Source organism: Homo sapiens, chromosome 17, assembly GCF_000001405.40.
Source record: "Homo sapiens chromosome 17, GRCh38.p14 Primary Assembly".
Lineage (NCBI taxonomy): Eukaryota > Metazoa > Chordata > Mammalia > Primates > Hominidae > Homo > Homo sapiens.
The window spans coordinates 142,576-162,446 of NC_000017.11; the positions used below are offsets into that span (position 1 = coordinate 142,576).

The following is a 19,871-nucleotide window of genomic DNA, read 5'->3' on the forward strand; positions in this document are numbered from 1 at the left end:
ACCGAACACCCAACCCTGACTAAATGCGAAACGCTGACCCGGACCTGGACCTGGACCTAGTACGAACCCAAGCCTGAACCCTAACCCCTAACCCCTAATCCTGATCCTAGACCCTAACCCCGACCCTAAACCCTGACCCTGACCCTGAAGGGGGACATAGAGGAAAGAGATTGAGAGGTTTGCATATTCAATGACATACATTTTCTTCGTTAGTCGATGTTAGAAAGCAAAGGCTTTTATCTCGAGAAATTTCTGACCTAAAGAATGATGTACAATAAACTGTATTCAACAATTGATCAACATTTTCTAACAAGGTGGAATGAAAATATAAAGTGTGGGGATTGCTACTAGTCCTAATACACTAATCTGTGGTTAGGAAGGTTTATTTTTTTCCCTCCAAACCTAAGCAGTACATGTCTTAAATTACCTTCCAAAACGTAAGACTCTTGGAGCCTCAGACGGGCTGGCGTTAGTCAATACTCCACGGCTGTTTGTTGGATGAGTGGACAACAGCATGGTCGACAGGTCCTGGTGCAAAATGTCTTGGGCTGCCTCAGTTTGAATCCTGCTTCTGCCATCGACCAGCCGTGTGATTCTGTAAAAGTATTTTAACCTCTCTGGGCCTTAGTTTCCCCATCTGTAACTTGAGGGCCTACCTCAAATGGGTCCCTGGTGAAGAGTAACAAGACTATATCCGGAGTAGGTTTCAGTTGCCTTTTCCTCCGTCTTTCCACCCTCCCCTCCTACCCTTCCAAATCTTTTTTTTTTTTTTTTGACAAGGTCTCCCTCTGTTGCCCAGGCTGGAGTGCGGTGGCGTGATCTCGGCTCACTGCAATCCCCACTTTCCAGGCTCAAGCGATCCTCCTCCTCCTACCTCAGCCTCCTGAAAAGCTGGGGCTACAGGTGTGTGCCACCACGCTAGGCTAATTGTCATTGTGTGTGTCTCTGTGTGTGTAGAGGCGTGGTTTCTCCATGTTGACCAGGCTGGTCTCGAACTCCAGGCCTCAAGCAATTCTCCCACCTCGACCTCCAAAAGTGCTAGGACTTACAGGCGTGAGCCACCGCCCCCACCCCTTCAAATCTATTAAAAGGTGAGAGTCTCGCCAAGGCAATGAGATCGCAATATGACGTTTCCATTTACTTTGGATTATATGTCATTATAAATATTAACAAATAAGACTTAAAAAGGACACCTTCGGGTAGGTCAGACCAAAATACAAAACTTGTCTGTGGGACTGCAGTTTGAGGACAGTGTCTGCAGCCGTCACATGGCAGCAAAACGGGGTTAAGCAGTGCACGAGAGTCTGCGTCGACGACAGCCAGAGTCCATGCATCGGGAGGTTCACTCGGTTTGCGAAGGAACAACGGGCTCGGCATGCACGGCCCGGGCTCGGCGGGCGGACGGGCCGGGGCGCAGTTCCCCGCGCTCGCCACTAGAGGTCAGGAGGTGACCGCTTCGGGGCTGGAAGACGGGCCCGTCGGGGATTGGCGCAGGCGGCGGGCGGGGCGGCGGGCGGGGCGGCGGGCGGGGCGGCGCTGGAGGCAGCGCCTGGTTACTGACACCTGGAATGACTTTTTTTTTTTGGCATCAGATTTCCTGTCTTTGTGGGGATGATGGACCCGAGTAAAGATGCCCATTCGGGGTCAAAGGCAGAGCCGCTTCTGCAGCTTCTCAAAGCGTTGTTTGTTTGTTTTTTTTCTGAGACGGAGTCTTGCTCTGTCGCCCAGGCTGGAGTGCAGTGCCGCGATCTTGGCTCACTGCAGCCTTCACCTCCCGGGTTCAAGCGATTCTCGTGCCTCAGCCTCCCTGAGTAGCTGGGACTACAGGCGTGCGCCACCACACCCGGCTAATTTTTGTATTTTTAGTAGAGATGGGGTTTCGCCCTGTTGGCCAGGCGGGTTTCGAACTCCTGACCTCAGGTGATCCGCCAGCCTCGGCCTCCCAAAGTGCTGCAATTACAGGCGTGAGCCATCGTGCCTCAAAACGCTTTAACAGAAAGACAATCTGCACGGGATCTAAAAGGGTGCTGAGATCCTAGGGAAGGAAGGATCCAAACTTCCTGGGGAGTTCCTGCCCGAGTGCCTGTGCTGCCCCTGGGCTGGCTGGCCAGTAAGCCCGCCTCCCAGCCTGACTGTCCCCATCTTTCGGTCCCAGCCCCATTTGCACAGCCTGGGCAGTAGAGGGCCCTGGACTGGGGGGCTGGAGTTCTGGGTTCTTGTCCCAGCTGTGCCCCTTCAGGCCCCTTTCACCCACTGGGCCTCACATTCCCCATGTGCCTAATAAGGAAGTCATGGTAGGTGGGGGGTACAGCCTCTTCTCGCTTTGCCATTCACTTCTGTGTCTTCAGAGAGGCTGTCAAATCTCCTCTCTGAATGAGACCCCCAAAAAAGCAAAGCTAAGAAGATACCCAGAGCTTAACTAGACACCAGGCCTTTTAGAAATAGACCACCTCTTACCTTAGGCCCCCAGAGGGTGCCCATTCTGTGTGGAGAAAAGAGGAGCCCTTGCCTCAGCCCCCAGAGGCTAGGGTGGGGTGGCTGAGTTTTGGGGCCAGGTTAGACACCTCTGGGGAAGCCTGAAGTAGCACGGATGGTTTCAAAGCCAGCGGATGAGGTGGCAGGACAGTGACAAGACCCCAGGTCTCCATCATGCACCTGAGCTTACTGAGCCTTCACCTGGTGTCTCTGCTGAGTCTCCGACAGACCAAGAGGGAAGGGACTGGGGGTACCGACCCCCAGAGAGAGAAAGCGGCAGTCAGAGGACCTGGGTTTGAGTCCTGGTTCACCCCTTCCTGGCTGTGTGGCCTTGGCAAACTACTCAGACTCTGGGAACCTGTTTCACCTGCAAGATGGGGATGAGAATCAAACCCACCTTGCAGGGCTGTGAACATGCGTTCAGACCAGTGCATGCAAAAACCTTCACACAAAAACCCTTCCTAAAGGCAGGGAGACAAGTCTCCAGGAGCAGCAGGTGGCCAGGGACTGTGTGGGGGCTGGGGTCCTGTTTTCCCCGCAACCTGGGAAAGGCCTGATGGGCACTTGGTAGGATTCAAATCATAACCCTGGACCTCAGGTGGTGGTGTGCTTTGTGTCTGCAGTGGAAGGTCCCACCGTCGTGCCTGTGAGTCCCTCTATCGGTGTTGAAGGGGTGGGCAGCAGGCGGGGGAGCCCCAGGCTGGCAGCTAGCAGGACCTCTCTGGTGTGAGCTCAGCACGCCAATTCCCCTGAAGCGTGGTGTCCAGCACTCTGGGCTGGGGGCTGTGGATCCTGGTTCCAGCTGTGTGGGGCCTGGAAGGCCCTGGGCAGGTCACCTGACCTCTCTGGGCCTGTTTCCATCACACACTGATGGGCTGAGCACACTGGGACTCTGGCTGTGCAACTCCTTGGCTCTGCATTTGTTCACCCAGCGTTCCTGAGGGGCCCTTGGTAGGCAGAGAAAGTTTGTGGGCTTCAGGCATGGGCCCCAAGATTCAGATACTCTCAAGCCTCCTGGGGAGTCTCACTCAGGGGAGCAGACAGGCCCACCAGCCAGGGTGATTCTTGCTCAGCTCCTGGAGGGTGGAGCTGGCCCCACAGGCCTCCCCAGAGACAAGGCCCTGGACGGCCACTGATTACTCCCAAAAGGGACATCTGTGGCGGTAGTGGGACCAAGATGCCACGAGCAAGCACCCGGAGGCCCCCAGTGTGAGCCATGGAGTGGAGGGGAGGGGAAAGGGCAGAGTCAGGACGTGTAGGAATGCTTGCTTTTTTTCCCAAGCACAAGGGACCCTTTTCTCCACTGCAGCTGACCTGATGCTTATGCCAGGAAGGAGGAGGGGCGGGCTCCGTCCTTGAGGTCCCTCAGGAGTAGAAAGAGATCAGAGTGGGAGACTTGGGTCTGAGGTCTGAACTTGAGCCTACACCAGTTTCTCCATGGTGTTTCCATCACGTCCCCCACCTCCTGCCTCGAGCCTCACACCTTCCTAACAAACCCTCCCCTGGAGAGGAGACCCTGGGTCCACAGCACCCCGGCCCCATTGGCTTTCTCTCTCCAGGCGTTTTAGACCACTCCCACTGCCTGGACTGCTTTTAGAAGCCCTCACTCACCCTCCAAGGCCTTACGGAAGCACCGCCTCCTCCAGGAAGCCGTCCCTGACCTCCCGGCAGAGTCAGCAGAGCCCACGGTACTTGCAGACTGGCCAAGCTGGTCTTGGTATTTCTCACCCCAGTTGGAATGGTTTGTTCCCAGCTTCCTGACTAGATGGGAACTCCCTGAGGGCAGGCCCTGTGTCTCATTCACCCCCAGGGCTTGTGGAATCATTGAGTGAAGCATGTGCCAATTTACCCATCATCAGGAGCCTCCGGGAACTCTGGCAGACTTTCGGCCGGCAGGCCCGCTTCTTCCATCTGTCCAGCAGCGAAGGAGATGAGGGATGCAGTTAGGCTTTCTTGGGCTGGAGCAGCCAGTCTTCAAGGTCCCATCCTCCACCTGTCTGTCTGCTCACCACCTCCCTCCTCTGTTCCCACTGTCCGCCAAGGCGCCCCCACACTCCTGTCCTCTCAGCCGGGGCTGGCCTCTAGAAGGGTCTTTGCTCCCAGATGGGCGTGTCCCCTTCCCCTGGGCAGGTGCTGAGGTCTCTTTCCACCACCGGCCTCTTGGGCCCCAGAGAGCTGAGAGCCCCCCACCCCAGCTCCTTGCCCTCCCCGTCCCAGAGTGGCTGAGCCCTCCACATCCTCCGAGCGGGGACTGCAGTGGCTCTGTGTCCAAGCAGGGGTTCTGGATCTCCCCCAGTGTGGGGGCCACAGGCCTTGGTGGCTGCTGGGGAAGCCCGGGGCCGGCCGTGCTGGGCGCAGGTGGCGGCAGGGGTAGCAGTGGCGGGTGGGCGTCAGTCGCTGAGCACAGCCCCTGGGAGCTCGCTGGTGAGCGTGTGCCAGCGCTCGATGCGCTTGTCCTTGTTCTTCAGGCAGTCAAACCAGTGCTTCAGGCGCTCCCCCTTGGCGTGGATGCCCAGAACCACACCACCTGCAGGAGGACAGGAGGGGCAGCTGGGGCACAGGGACCCCCAACTCCCAGGCGTGGGGCCCATGCCCCCTCCCAGGTTCTGTGCTCGAAGGCCAGCCTCTCCCACTGCCCGCTGGGTTCTGAGCATGAACAGGACCTGACCTCCATGCCACACTCTGGCCCCGTCAGGGCCCAGCCATCCTGTCTCTCTTCCACCAGGGCAGGGATAGGGGCAGGGTGCAGAGGCAGCATCAGGGGTCAAGGAATGGGGGCCTGAAGAGGGGAGAAAGGGCCGGGCAGCCCCACTATGCGCAGCCACCAGGCCCACTGGGAATTTGGGGCCTCTAGGGCTCAGAGTCCAGCCCGAGGCACTGCCCATCATTGTCTCTTGTCTGTGCTCCACCACAGAGTGCTGTGTGACCCTCCCAGAACTCCTTCCATCCCTGGGCCTGTCTCTTCCTGGGGCACAAGGGTCAGGCTGGAGAAGGTCTGAGGCCCCTGACCTAGGGGCAGGTGGTCCGTGGCTCCAGCTTTCCCCATGGACCAGGAAAGAGGGGCTGTGGCCTGATCCAGGACAGGCACACAGTGAGACGGTGTTCCCACTATGCCCCCTTACCAATGAAATCGTTGGATTTTCCAATGTCGTAATCCCAAACGGTGACCTCCAGGGACTTCTTGGCCAGGTCCCCATGCTTGATCTCGTAACAGAACTCCTGCTGGCAAGAAGGGAGTGTTAGGGCTGATGCCTGGGCCTGGGCCTCCGCCGGGGGCCAGGAGGGGTATGAGGTGTAGGGACAGAGGAGGGATGGGGGTGATCAGTGCTCAGAGTGGATGATGGGTGGATGCTCACATGTCTCGCCCACTTCCCCCTGAGCTCCACTGGGGTCTTCAGGGCCCCTGTCCCCTCGCCCGCTTGCTCCTTGTCCCTGAGCCTGCTCTCCCCACACCCCGGGAGCCTCCTGACTGCAGAGGCACTGCACGCCCCACAGTCCTTGTCATCCTGGGCCTCTCTGGGGCCTGGCTTTGCTGACCCCTCCCTTCTCTGTGGGACCCTCCCTTCCATCCGGGGTTCCCCTCACTCTCTGGAAGCATCTTGACCTCCCCTGCCTGCCTCTGGATCACTGGTGTGGTGTGGGCTCTACCCAAGGCCCCTCTGCTCTTCTTTCCTTCTTGTTCCTTGGGGGGAATCCGCATTTCCAGCCGTACTTGCCGCCTTGGGCGGAAGACTTCCTGGGGCCCCAGGGTGTCTCGAGTCCCCTTGCCCCACACAGAGTTTCTCCCCATCTTCCTCACCCCCTCTTTGCCCTGTTGCCTCCATGAGGAACCGAGGACTCCCCTCAACACTTCCCTCCCCCCAGCCCTACATCCGACAAGTCCTGCCAAGAGCTTTCCAGGGGTCCCCCAGCTCCCCTGTGTCTGTGGCTTGGTGCGGCCCCTCCCCACCGTCTCTGACCACCCTCCCCATCCCGCCATGACCTTTTGAAAACCCAGCCACACCCCCACTGCTGTGGGGCAGAGGAATGGCCTTCATGAAGCTTCACCAGCCCCTCATACCTCATTAAACTCCGGGTTCAGGGTTTTTTTCTTCACCGCTGTCTTATGTTTGGATTTCTTGTCCACATCTGGCCTCAGGTATCTGGAATTACATCCAACGGACAGGCAGAGGATGGGGACATGCTATGGGGTATAGATCAAGCCAGCAGGTATTCAAAGAGCTTTCTGTCCCTGGAGAGAGATTCCTGGGCCCTTCTTTTGTCCTAATCATTGGATTTTCCCAACGCTATTTTGTGGCAAAGGCGAGACGTTGTTTTCGAGAAGCAAGTGGTCCCTTCATCCACCGCACTTCTGTTCACACACACATTCCTGAAGTTAACCCTGGGGGGCGCCCTCCATCCCCCTAGGAAAGGGGTTTTTCCTCATTTCTGGAAGTCTAATTTTCATAAAGCTCACATTTCCCACCAGAACAGAGTTTTTAGCAGAGTTGGTCTCTTGTTCAAACTTCTTTTTTTTTTTCAGATGGCTGACTGCAACCTCTGCCTCCCGGGTTCAAGTGATTCTCCTGCCTCAGCCTCCAGAGTAGCTGGGACTACAGGCATGTGCCGCCATGCGCAGGTAATTTTTGTATTTTCAGTAGAGACAGGGTTTCACCATGTTGGCCAGGCTGGTCTCTAGCTCCTGACCTCAGGTGATCCACCTGCCTCGGCCTCCCAAAGTGCTGGGATTACAGGCGTGAGCCACCACCCCCGGCCTCAAGCTTCTTTTATAAAATAGCAGATTTATTGAGATATAATTCACATACCATAAAATCCATCCTTCTGAAGTGTAAAACGCAGTAGCCTTTAGTAGACTCCCAGAGTTGTACATCCATCACCACTACCTCCATTGGAGCTTTGAGGAAGGACAAGACCTTTTGTGCAGTCACACGGAGGCCACCTAGATGTTCTTCCCTCCACAGCCACTAAGGCCTTAGGCTCTGATGCAGAACAGCTGTCTTCCTCTGAGGCTCAGAGAGGGGGAGTGACTTGCCCAAGGTCACACAGCCTGCAAGCACAAGCGTGGTGCTTGAAAGCCAGGCTCAGACTCCTTTCTCTATGACAGGGAGGTCATGTGCAGGCTGGAGAAGGGGACAAGAGGTCCCCAACTTCTTTGCAAAGCTTCTCACCCTGTTCCTGCATAGATAATTGCATGACAATTGCCTTGTCCCTGCTGAATGTGCTCTGGGGTCTCTGGGGTCTCACCCACGACCAACTCCCTGGGCCTGGCACCAGGGAGCTTAACAAACATCTGTCCAGCGAATACCTGCATCCCTAGAAGTGAAGCCACCGCCCAAAGACACGCCCATGTCCAGCTTAACCTGCATCCCTAGAAGTGAAGGCACCGCCCAAAGACACGCCCATGTCCAGCTTATTCTGCCCAGTTCCTCTCCAGAAAGGCTGCATGGTTGACACACAGTGCCTGCGACAAAGCTGAATGCTATCATTTAAAAACTCCTTGCTGGTTTGAGAGGCAGAAAATGATATCTCATAGTTGCTTTACTTTGCATATTTTAAAATTGTGACTTTCATGGCATAAATAATACTGGTTTATTACAGAAGCACTAGAAAATGCATGTGGACAAAAGTTGGGATTAGGAGAGAGAAATGAAGACATATGTCCACACAAAAACCTGTTCATTGCAGCTTTCTACCATCACCAAAAATTGCAAACAACCACACGCCCTTCAACTGGGGAACTCATCAACAACAAACTTGTGGTTTACCCACACAATGGAAGACCACTTAGCAACAAAAAGGACCAAACTCCTGGTACATGCAACTGACAGATGAATCTCAAACGCATTCCTCCGTGTGAAAGAAGCCGGACTCACAGGGCAACACACTATCTGACTGTTTCATGGGAAAGTCTGGAAACGGCAACACCATTGAGACAGAAAACAGGTGAGTGGTTGCCTGGGGCCAGGGAACTTTCTGGGGTCATATTCTCTGTGTTGATTCTGGTGGTGGAAACAAGACTGTCCCAGCCTGGGTGATACAGCGAGACCCCATCTCTACCAAAAAATTAAAAATTAGCTGGGCATGGTGGTGCATGCCTGTAGTCCCAGCTATTCACAGTGCTGAGGTGGGAAGATGCTTGAGCCCAGGAGTTCAAGGCTGCAATGAGCTATGATTGCGCCACTGCACTTTGGCCTGGACAACAGAGCAAAACCCTGTCTCTAAAAAAAGAAAAGAAAAGAAAAACTCACTGGATATGAATGATACAGGTTGAGGATCCATTATCTGAAATGCTTGGACCAGATGTTTTGAATTTTGGATTTTTTCATATTTTGTAATCTTTGCAGTATATTTACCAGTTCAGCATCCCTAACTCAAAAATTCAAAAATCTGAAATCCCAAACGCGCCAATAAGCATTCCCTTTGAGCGTCATGTCGGTGCTTGGAATGTTTGGGGTTTTGGATTTACAGCTTTGGGACGCTCAACCTGTACCTCAATAAACCTGATTTTAAAAAAGTTTGGGGGGATTCCCCTAAGCCCGCCACCCGGAGACAGCGGATTTCCTTAGTTACTTACTATGCTCCTTGGCCATTTCTCTAGGTATTGGTATATTGTGTCTGCTGTGAACTGTCCTTGGCCTGTTTGGTGACGGGTGAGGAGCAGGGACAGAAGGGTCCTGCGTGCCCTGCCTTCACAAGCCCCTGGAAGGAAAGTTGTTTTGGGATCTCTGCACCCTCAGCCTGGACAACTTGTGCCCATCTGGTGACCCCTCACTCAGCCACCAGACTTCCACGACAGGCTCCAGCCTCGGCACCTTCAGCCATGGACAGTTCCGCCAGCGTTGCCCTCTGTTCTGCTGTTTTCTCTACCAGAAGTGCCCTTCCCTCCTCACCTGACCACTCTGGGGAAATCCCTCAGCACCCTCCCTGAGCATACCCTACTCTGGCACAAGCCCACCCTGCAAAGCCCCTGAGGCCCGCCCTGTGGCGTCTCTCCCTCCCTTGCTGTCAGGACAGTGGTCCTGGCCACCGGGGCTCACGGAGCCGCCCTGTGCCGTGTACCTCTGAGCCCTCTGCACAGTGCCTTCTGCTTGCCTGTGGCTTTGAGAAGAAACCCCTTCTGGTTATACATAAGACAGCCAGAGAAGGGAGTTGCCCAGGGTGGCACAGCACGTTGCTGCCAGTTACTGCCATTTTCACGGGCATGAAATGGAGATAACAACAGGAGCGACCGCACAGGCTGCTGAGCGCGTCACACGCAGCCATCGCGCAGCTCAGGGATATTACGTGTAACTCGACATGTCAGCGATTGTCACAGGCACTGCTACTCCTGGGGTTTTCCATCAAACCCTCAAGAGCTGGGCCTGGGGTCAACTTCCGGCCTGGGGAAACTGGGGCAAGTATCACCAGAGATGAGCTTTATAAAAATAATGGTGCTAGCTGGGCATGGTGGCTTGCACCTGTAATCCCAGCACTTTGGGAGGCCGAGCTAGGAGGATCGTTTGAGTCCAGCAGTTTGAGACCAGCCTGGCCAATACGGCAAAACCCAGTCTCTACAAAAAATACAAAAAACAACTAGCCAGGCGTGGTGGTGCACACCTGTAGTCCCAGCTACTCAGGAGGCTGAGGGGGAAGGACTGCTTGAGCCCAGGAGTTTGAGGCTGCTGTGAGCTGTGATCGCATCACTGCATTCCAGCCCGGTGACAGAGTGAGTCACTGTCTCAAAAAAGAAAGGAAGAAATAAAGAAAACAAATAAAAATAATAGTGCAGACAAAAGGCCTTGACCCATCTAGCTTTGGCCCTCAGCATCAACCGCTAGATACGTCCCTCCCTTTCTTCTGGGGCACAGGTCACACTCTCTTCCAGGTCTAGGATGCAGCTGAGGGGTGCCCCTCTTACCATCTAATCTGTGCCCTTATTTCCTCTGCTTTAGTGAGGAAGAGGCCCCTGGTCCATGAAGGGGCCTTTCAGAGACGGGGACCCCTGAGGAGCCCCGAGCAGCAGCCGTCGTGTCTCACCCAGGGTGTCTGAAACAGATGTGGAGGTCTCGGGTGAGGCGTGGCTCAGATACAGGGAGTGGCCCACAGCTCGGCCTGTCTTTGAAAGGCCACGTGACCTGGCCCACGGCTGGCAGGTGGGACCCAGCTGCAGGGGTCCAGCAGCACCCACAGCAGCCACCTGTGGCAGGGAGGAGCTTGTGGTACAGTGGACAGGCCCTGCCCAGATGGCCCCCCGCCTGCCTGTGGAAGTTGACCAGACCATCTGTCACAGCAGGTAAGACTCTGCTTTCTGGGCAACCCAGCAGGTGACCCTGGAATTCCTGTCCATCTGGCAGGTGGGCATTGAAACTGGTTTAAAAATGTCACACCATAGGCCGGGCACAGTGGCTCACGCCTGTAATCCCAGCCCTTTGGGAGGCCAGGGTGGGTGGATCACTTGAGGTCAGGAGTTCAAGACCAGCCTGGCCAACATGGTGAAACCCCGTCTACTAAAAATACAAAAATTAGCCTGGCGTGGTGGCGCATGCCTGTAATCCCAGCTACTTGGGAAGCTGAGGGATGAGAACTGCTTGAACCTGGGAGGCAGACGTTGCAGTGAGCTGAGATCACGCCACTGCACTCCAGCCTGGGCAACAGAGTAAGACTCTGTCTCAAAAAAAAAAAAATCACACCATTTTGGCTTCAGATTGCATATCCTCCTGCAAGGATATATACGCGTGAAATTCAAGTCAATGACAAATCAGAAGAAAAAACATATATATACGCAAACCAGTATCCTACTGTGTGTGTCGTTTGTTGTGTTTTCGACAGCTGTCCGTGTTATAATAATTCCTCTAGTTCAAATTTATTCATTTTTAACTTCATAGTACCACATTCTACACACTGCCCATGTCCCCTCAAGCTTCCCCTGGCTCCTGCAACCACAAATCTACTCTCTGCCTCTGTGGGTTGACCTATTCTGGACACGTCATAGAAATAGAGTCCTGCAACACGTGGCCGTCTGTGTCTGGCTTCTCTCGCTTAGCATCTTGTTTCCAAGGTCCTCCCACAGTGTAGCATGCACCTGCTACACTCCTTCTTAGGGCTGATATTCCACGCACCTGCTACACTCCTTCTTATGGCTGATATTCCACGCACCTGCTACACTCCTTCTTAGGGCTGATATTCCACACACCCGCTACACTCCTTCTTAGGGCTGATATTCCACGCACCCGCTACACTCCTTCTTAGGGCTGATATTCCACGCACCTGCTACACTCCTTCTTAGGGCTGATATTCCACGCACCTGCTACACTCCTTCTTAGGGCTGATATTCCACGCACCTGCTACACTCCTTCTTAGGGCTGATATTCCACGCACCTGCTACACTCCTTCTTATGACTGATATTCCACGCACCTGCTACACTCCTTCTTAGGGCTGATATTCCACTGCAGGGACAGACTTCATTTGTGTATCCATTCATCAGTGGATGGACACTTGGGGTGTTTCCACTTTTGGCTGTTGTGGATAGTGCTGCTATGAACATTCCTGCACAAGTTTTAGGATGGACATGTTTTTCTTATCTCTTGGGTATATAACAAGGAGTGGAATTGCCAGATCAAATGGTGATTCTGTGTTTAACTTTCTGAGGAACTATCAGCTGCTTCCCAAAGTGGCCATCCCATTATTCTCATATTATTTTTATTTGTTTATTATATTTTGAGAGTGTCTCGCTCTGTCACCCTGGCTGGAGTGCAGTGGTGTGATCTCGGCTCACTGCAATCTCCACCTCCCAGGTTGAAGTGATTTTCCTGCCTCAGCCTCCCAAGTAGCTGCGATTACAGGCGCCCGCCACCACACCCAGCTAATTTTTTTATTTTTAGTAGAGACGGGTTTCCCCATATTGGCCAAGCTGGTCTCAAACTCCTGACCTCAGGTGATCCGTGCGCCTCGGCCTCCCAAAGTACTGGGATTACAAGCACGAGCCACTGCACTCAGCCTAATTTATTACTATTTTTAACTGTAGAGACAAGGTCTCAGTATGTTGCCAAGGCTGGTCTCAAATTCCTGGGTTCAAGCAATCCTCTCAAGTAGTTAGGACTACAGGGACATGCCACTACACCAGGCTAATTTTTAATTTTTTTATAGAGATGGAGGTCTCACTATGTTGCCCAGGATGGTCTCAAACTCCTAGCCTCAAGCAATCCTCCTGCCTTGGCCTCCCAAAGTGTTCAGAATGTAAGTGTAACTCACTGCACCTGCCACATACAATTTTTAAAGTGACAGAAATATGATCATGGCCATGGGAATGGTGCCCCTAGAGCTGTGCCACGAGGAGTACTGGCCTCTTCATGGTGCCAAGATGTCCCTGAGGCCTTAGTCACCTGGGTCCTTGGTGTCCCCTAGGTCAGGGCCATCCCTCTGTCATTCCCCCTCCCTGAAGCACCTGCCCCTCCTTTCTGCTGAACTAAATTCCTCCCCAAGTCTCAGTTTTCCAGAGTCTCCCTGTGAGCTCACACTCATACCTACCTAGTTTCTGAAGAGCCCCGAGCACTGACGGTAGTCACTGTGGCACCTGTAGCACCCTCTCCAAAGGGTCGCCAGCTCCTGCCTGGCTCTCAGAGCTACACAGCCTCTCCTGACCAGGCTCACAGCTCCACAGCTCTGCGGCCCAGGCCACCTGGCATGGCCCCCTGAGTTAGTGTCTCTCCCCAGGCCCACCATCAGCCCTGTTGGTAGAGCTGGGTGGACTCTTATCCGCATCTGTAGCACCATTATAGGGCTGGGCAAATGTGGGCAGTTGCAAAGGCCTGGCAGAGTTCCTCTGCATCCTCCCCCAGCCTCCTGGCTACCCCCGGCACTGGCCCCGCCTTCTGTCCCCTCCTGCAACTCATGGCCCCTCCTGGGCCCCTCAGTCACAGAGAGGCCTGGACATAGCATCAGGTGATAACTAATACCTGCATGACCCTGGGAAGCCACTCAGCTTCTCTGTCCCTCAGTTTCCCCATCTGTGAAATGGGCTGGCCATGCTTAACCCCTGGAGTTGCCAAGGTAGCCCATCAGGGAACACAGCGCCCCTGTACCTCAGGCACTCCCTGGGTGCCTGCCACCTGGGACCACGGAGCCGGCACACGGACCCCCGTCCTTGGAGGTGAAGACGTGGCAGGTGGTCACGCGCACGGCACACTCACGTTTTCACGTAGGGGTCCGAGTAGCCGTTGGCGTCCATGGCGGCCAGGTGGGCGCACCGCACGATGCCTACCAGCAGGCCTTGCTTCTGTGAGCTGTACTTGAGGGAGATGAGGATGCGGCCCCGCTCCTCCAGGGACTTGTCTTCAGTCTTGTCCACCTGTTGGACGGGACGGTCACTCAGTCCTCACCTGCTCCCACCCCTCTCTTGGCCGTCCTTGGCCTCCTCTTCCTGAGCCCGCCCATCCGGCTGCTGCAGCCGGGCCTGGTCACGGTCCCTGGTGAGTGGCCTCACTGTGAACTCACAGCCCTTCTGTCATCTCTTCCCTCCCAAGGGCTCTTCCAGGGCTGGATCTGACCCACACCCTCCCTGTTCTTGGCTGCATGTGGCCTACGGTGGCCTTCACAGCCCAGCAAGGGCCAGCCCAGGGGTTGGCAACTGCAGCCCGGGGGCCAGATCAGGCCCGACGCCTGGCTCTGTGTGGGATGTGAGCTAAGCATGGCTCTTACCCTTATCTTAAACAATTTCTTTTTCAAAAAAATAGAGACAGGGGTCTCACTATTTTGCCCAGGCTGATCTCAAACTCCTGGGCTCAAGGGATCTTCCCACCTTGGCCTCCCAAAGTGCTGGGATTACAGACATGAGCCACCGTGCCCAGCTGGTTCTTACTTTTTGGAATGGCAGAAAGAAAAATGAAATGAAAAATATTTTGTGACACATGAAAATGACATGAAATTCACACTTCAGCTTCCATTAACACCGTGTTGTTGGAACGCAGCCTTGCCAGCTCCGTGATGCTTCTCTATGGCTGCTTTTGCCCTAAGGACAGAGCTGCATGGTGGCCACAGATTGCGAGGCACACAGAGCCTAACATTAGCGCTAAGCGGCCCTTCACGGGTCTGCAGCCCCCGGCCTGGCGCGCTCGGCTTCCGCGGACGGTCTTCCACCAGGTCCTCCTCACAGCCCGCCCGGACTTTCCCTTGGCTTTGAAGCCGGGTCCCACCTCCACACCTTTGCGCACCCTTAATCCACAGCTCCAGCACCCTCCTCTGACCTCCTCAGTGTTCACCGTTGATAAATTCCTGGTCCTTCTGGGCCTGGGGGGCTTTTCTGACCCTCAGGGTGGGTTGGCCGTCCCCTCTGCGCGCCCACTGCCTCGGGTTTATCCTGTCATGGCCTGGTGTGGCCCCCTGCTTCCTCAGGGCTCTGCCCCAGCCTCTAAGTTCCTTGAAGTTGGAACTCTACCTGTAAATTTTGATTTTGACAGAGTCTGACTCTTGTCACCCAGGCTGGAGTGCAGTGGCATGATCTTGGCTCACTACAACCTCTGCCTCCCGGGTTTAAGCGATTCTCCTGCCTCAGCCTTCTGAGTAGCTGGGACTACAGTCTAATTTTTCTATTTTTTGGTAGAGACAGGGTTTTGCCATGTCTGCCAGGCTGGTCTCGAATTCCTGACCTCAAGTGATCCACCCACCTCAGCCTCCTGAAGTGCTGGGATTACAGGTATGAGCCACCGCATCCAGATAATACCTGCGTCATCTTTAATACCTCAGGGCTGGGCAAGGCCCTGGCACTAAGGGCCCACTGGAGGCTTGTACTAGTGAAGGCAGGAATGGAGGGACAGATGGTCCCCTGTGCGTTCAACCTCATACAAGCAACTCCAGCCTGGAGGTTCAAAGAAAGGCAGAAAGGTCTGCCCATGACAATGGAGCCTGGTGGATGGAAAAGGGTCACCGTGGCCCCAGTTCCCTGAAGGTGCTACCTGGAGCCTCTCAGGGTGCTGGATGTGGCTCCCTCAGGAGAACCCCGAAGACAGAGTTCTGGTACATTCCTCACCCTGGAGAAGCTGGGAGCCAAGTAGGGAGCCCATCCAGTGCCTTCCCTGCCTCAGCAGCTGCCAGTGCCTGCCTCTCAAGGCAGATCTCAGCTCCAGGCCTCCCCATCCCCAGCCAGCCTGATGCTTCTCCATTCCTTGCCCTCCCGAGACTACCCGGCTTCTTCCTTCTGGCTGCTGCACACCCCAAACCCTCTCTCCTAGGCCCTCAGCCCCCCCAGACAAACCCAGCTTGAGCCCACCCACACACGCCCAGCTTGAGCCCTGTGTCCCCCTGGATCCCCTTAGGACTCTACCAGGCTCCTCTCCCAAGCAGCCCCAGCCACCTCCTTTTGCCCACAACCGTGCCCTGCCTAACACCAAAGTGAGTCCCTCTGGCTACATCTAACCCTTTCTGGAGATGAGACTCCTGTGAGGTGAGCAGGGATGTTGAGCAGGGAAGACATACATGCCCCACCAGCCACCTTCGCCACCTCCCACGCCCAGAGCAGACATGGCTAATCGATCCTAGCATTTGCCCTAGGCTCCAATGCCACCTCAGAATCCTTTTCAACACAGTGCTCAGGCAGCCATTCCTGGTGGATCAGGCCAGGCCTGCGAGATCTCGCTATCTGCCGCTCAGGCAGAGCTTTGTGTGTGAGGGCCTTGATGCCCTGTGCTGCTTGTGTCAGTGTGTGTGGTGTGAAAATTAAACAATATAAACTAGCAGGGGCCAGGCACAGTGACTCATGCCTGTAACCCCAGCACTTTGGGAGGCCAAGGCGGGCAGATCACCTGAGGTCAGCAGCTCAGGACCAGCCTGGCCAACATGGTGAAACCCCATCTCTACTAAAAATACAAAAATTAGCCGGGTGTGGTGGCGCATGCCTGTAATCCCAGCTATTGGGAGGCTGAGGCAGAAGAATCACTTGAACCCGGGAGGCGGAGGTTGAAGTAAGCCGACATTGCGCCACTGCACTCCAGCCTGGGCGACATAGACTCCATCTCATAAAAAAAAAAAAAAAACAACCAACCAGCAGGCATATTTTTAGCTCTTTTTTCAGGGGTGGGACATTGTACTTCGGGTTGTTTCATATGAAGACCACTGGGTCTTGCTCAGTATTGACTTAAAACAGATAATGTTCGCAGACTGTAAATTCTAAAACCTACCGCCAGAGGCCTGGCACAGGGGCTCATGCCTGTAATCCCAGCACTTTGGGAGGCCGAGGCAGGAGGATCACTGGAGGTCAGGAGTTTGAGACTTGCCTGGCCAACATGGCGAACCCCCGTCTCTACTAAAAATACCAAAATTAGCCAGGCGTGGTGGCGCACACCTGTAATCCCAGCACTTTGGGAGGCTGAGGCAGGTGGATCATTCAAGGTCAGGAGTTTGAGACACCTGGACAATATGGTGAAACCCCATCTCTACCAAATATACAAAAATTAACCAGGCGTGGCGGCACACGCCTGTAGTCCCAGCTACTCGGGAGGCTGAGGCATGAGAATTGTTTGAACTCAGGAGGTAGAGGTTGCAGTGAACAGAGATTTTGCCACTGAACTCCAGCCTGGATGACAGAGCAAGACTCAGTCTCAAAAAATAATAATAATAAAAGTACCACCAGAATGTGGCTGTACTGTCAGGGGTGCATCCCCAGCTGCACTCCTGCGGTCACTGTGAGTCCCTGAACGGCACCAATGGGCCGGTAGCGCATCCAGCAACGCCCTGATCATGGCCACGCACAGGGACGCACATGCTTTCACGAACGCACACCACACATGTGGACACACACACTGTCGCACACAGACACGTACTGACATATGCTCTTACACACAATTCACACACGAGCACACACACACACACGCTGACACCCCACGTACATACCCACGTGGTTGTTTGTTTATGCCAGTGATGAAAACTCAGGAACACTAAGGCAGGGCTGGTGTTGCTTTTTTTTTTTTTTTTTGAGACAGAGTCTTGCTCTTGCTCTTGTCACCCAGGCTGGAGTGCAACGGTGCAATCTCGGCTCACTGCAACCTCCGCCTCTCAGGTTCAAGCGATTCTCCTGCCTCAGCCTCCTGAGTAGCTGGGATTACAGGCATGCACCCCCACACCCGGCTAATTTTTTTATTTTTAGCAGAGACGGGGTTTCGCCATGTTGGCCAGGCTCTCTCGAACTCTTGACCTCATGACCCACCTGCCTTGGCCTCCTAAGATGTTGCCTTTCTTAAGTGACATAGACCATGTGGAAAAACCGGGTTACCTGTGGTTAGTGACTAACAATAAAACAGGAAAGGTTATATCCATCACACAAATGTCTGAGGGGGAGAGAATGTGACAAGGAATAAAATTGGATCAAATTCTGCAAAAGTAACTGGGATTCTGGGAAGAAGCCGTGGCCTCAGGCTGACTCGCCCCCGGGGCTTGACTTGGGCTAAGCTCGAGGTGAGTCCACGTCCCCGGGCCCCACTGGGGCTGGGTACACTGGGGACAGCCGCCGGGCTCTGTCCTCCCAAACTTGCCCCTTGCCCAGTCCTCTTAGGGGGACAACGTGCCATCGAGGGGACCATGCCTCCGCCTGTGTCCTGAACGCTGGGAGGCTGAGGCCCCAGGATTTCTCTTGACCCCAGTGGCACGGGGGACTCCTGGCTTCACCAGCCCTATGAACCAGGTGAAGGTGAGGCCATAGACAAGGGAGGATGGGGGAGGGAAGAGGGACATAGAGACCAAGACTCAGAGGGCGTAGCTGCTGGAGCAGGCCGAGGGCAAATCTGTTCTGACATAACGTTGAGACAAATGCCATTTCTAGGAAAGGATACTCTGCTGTCTCCTCTGCGTATCTCACAGGCACTCAGGTCTAACATGTTCCAAGCGTGCTCCTTGCGCGTCCTGTCCACCCGTGGTCCCTGCTGAGTCCTCTGAGTGCAGCAAACAGCCCCTCAGGCTTCAGTGGCTCAGGCCCCAAACCTCGGATCTGCCCTTCCCTCACCCAAGGACGTCCTATCTGCTGCCTGCACATCTGGTTCAGAATCAAGCCCTCCTACCGCTGCCAAGGTCAGGCCAGGGTTGTGCCCATCTCTCCCCATCTCCCCAGGCCTCCTGCCCTCTCCTCCCTCTTCTTCAAGCCATCCTGAGCCCAGGCCAGCGAGCCTGGTAAAATGTCATCCCCCATGATCCCTCAGCTTAGCACCCTCCCGTGGCCACTCAGAGTGAAAGCCAGGGTCCTTCCTCACCTCCACCCCCTTGACTCTCCATGCTCACCTCCCCGGTCTCCCCTCCCCTCTCACTCTGCCCCTCATGAGTCCCATCACAGGCAGGAAGTTCTGCCTTCCCAGCACCTGCCACCGAGCCAGGTACACAGCAGGTGCTCAATCAATCCTCTCACCGGCAGCTGCTTCTCCAGGCAGATGCTGAAGGTCTTGGTGTGGTTGGGTTTCAGCTTCTTCAGGGGCACACGTGTCTCCCCGATGAACTCATTGTGCCGGAATTTGTCCTCGTCACACACAGAGATCCTAGAGGGGGCGGTGGTGAGGGGCACAGCCAGTGCCTCAGACGCACTGGGCATGGTGGAGGTGTGCGCAGGTAGGGCCAGCCCTGGCTTCTCCTGCCCCAAGCCCTGCCCTGGTCTGGGGTGGGAGACGCACAAGATGCCTGGGCCCTGACAGGGGCAGAGTGTGGCACGATATCAGGCACTGTCCTCATGGACAAGTGTCCTCAGGTTGGAAGAGGGGACAGGAGAAGGCAGAACCAGTGCCAGGAGTAGCCAGGAGGCTGGGAGAGCCGGTTCTCTGGAGGGAACCACCTCCAGCACCCTGAGAGGCCCCAGGAAGCACCTTCAGGGGACTGGGGCCAGGGTGACCCTTTTCCACCCACCAGGCTCCATTGGCGTGGGCAGACCTTTCTGCCTTTCTTCAAGCCCCCAAGCTGGAGTTGCTGGCATGAGGTTGAACCCACAGGGGACCATCTGACCCTCCAGTCCTGCCTTCATTAGGAAAAGCCGGGTGGGAGTAGGGGTTGGGGAGGGAGCAGGCGGCCTGGGACCCTCACCCACCGCAGGGTCTTGCGGATCATGTCTTCATCTGTGATCCCGTAGTAAGTGAGGGTCTCGTTCCATGTGGGGTTCAGAGTGTTACGGAGAGTTTTTGTTCTGAGCTTATTTGCCTGGAGAAGAGAAAAATGATCTTATTAGCATCAAAGTGTGTATCAAACAGAACAATGGCCCCCAGAGATGGCCACGTGCTCATCTTGGAGCCTGTGAATGTGTTATCAACATGGCCAAGTGGACTGAGGCTGCAGGTGGACTTAGGGTTGGTAATGAGCTGACATTAGAATAGGGAGATTATCCTAGATTGTTGGGTGGCCCAATGTGGTCACAGGGTTCTTAAAAGCAGAAGAATGGACAGAGAAGACAGTCAGG

General features: G+C 54.9%; 1 protein-coding gene across 6 annotated transcripts in view; it reads right to left on the reverse strand.

Annotated features, from left to right (window-relative positions):
• Positions 214–19,871, reverse strand: part of DOC2B (double C2 domain beta) — a 38,862-nt gene continuing 19,204 nt past the window's right edge. For 2 of the 6 annotated variants that reach the window (XM_011535363.4, NM_003585.5), the window contains 6 exons: positions 19,506–19,615; positions 18,840–18,966; positions 13,645–13,802; positions 6,536–6,617; positions 5,598–5,694; positions 214–5,002 (listed from right to left, as the gene is read on the reverse strand). In XM_011535363.4, the coding sequence (XP_011533665.1) occupies positions 4,866–5,002; positions 5,598–5,694; positions 6,536–6,617; positions 13,645–13,802; positions 18,840–18,966; positions 19,506–19,615 (711 nt within the window). In that variant the 3' untranslated portion in view covers positions 214–4,865. Of the gene's footprint in view, positions 5,003–5,597; positions 5,695–6,535; positions 6,618–7,328; positions 7,523–8,781; positions 9,175–10,372; positions 10,501–13,644; positions 13,803–17,753; positions 18,373–18,839; positions 18,967–19,505; positions 19,616–19,871 lie in introns of those variants that run through there. The other 4 variants (XR_007065502.1, XR_942190.3, XM_047436938.1 and 1 more) reach the window with 4 other exon arrangements.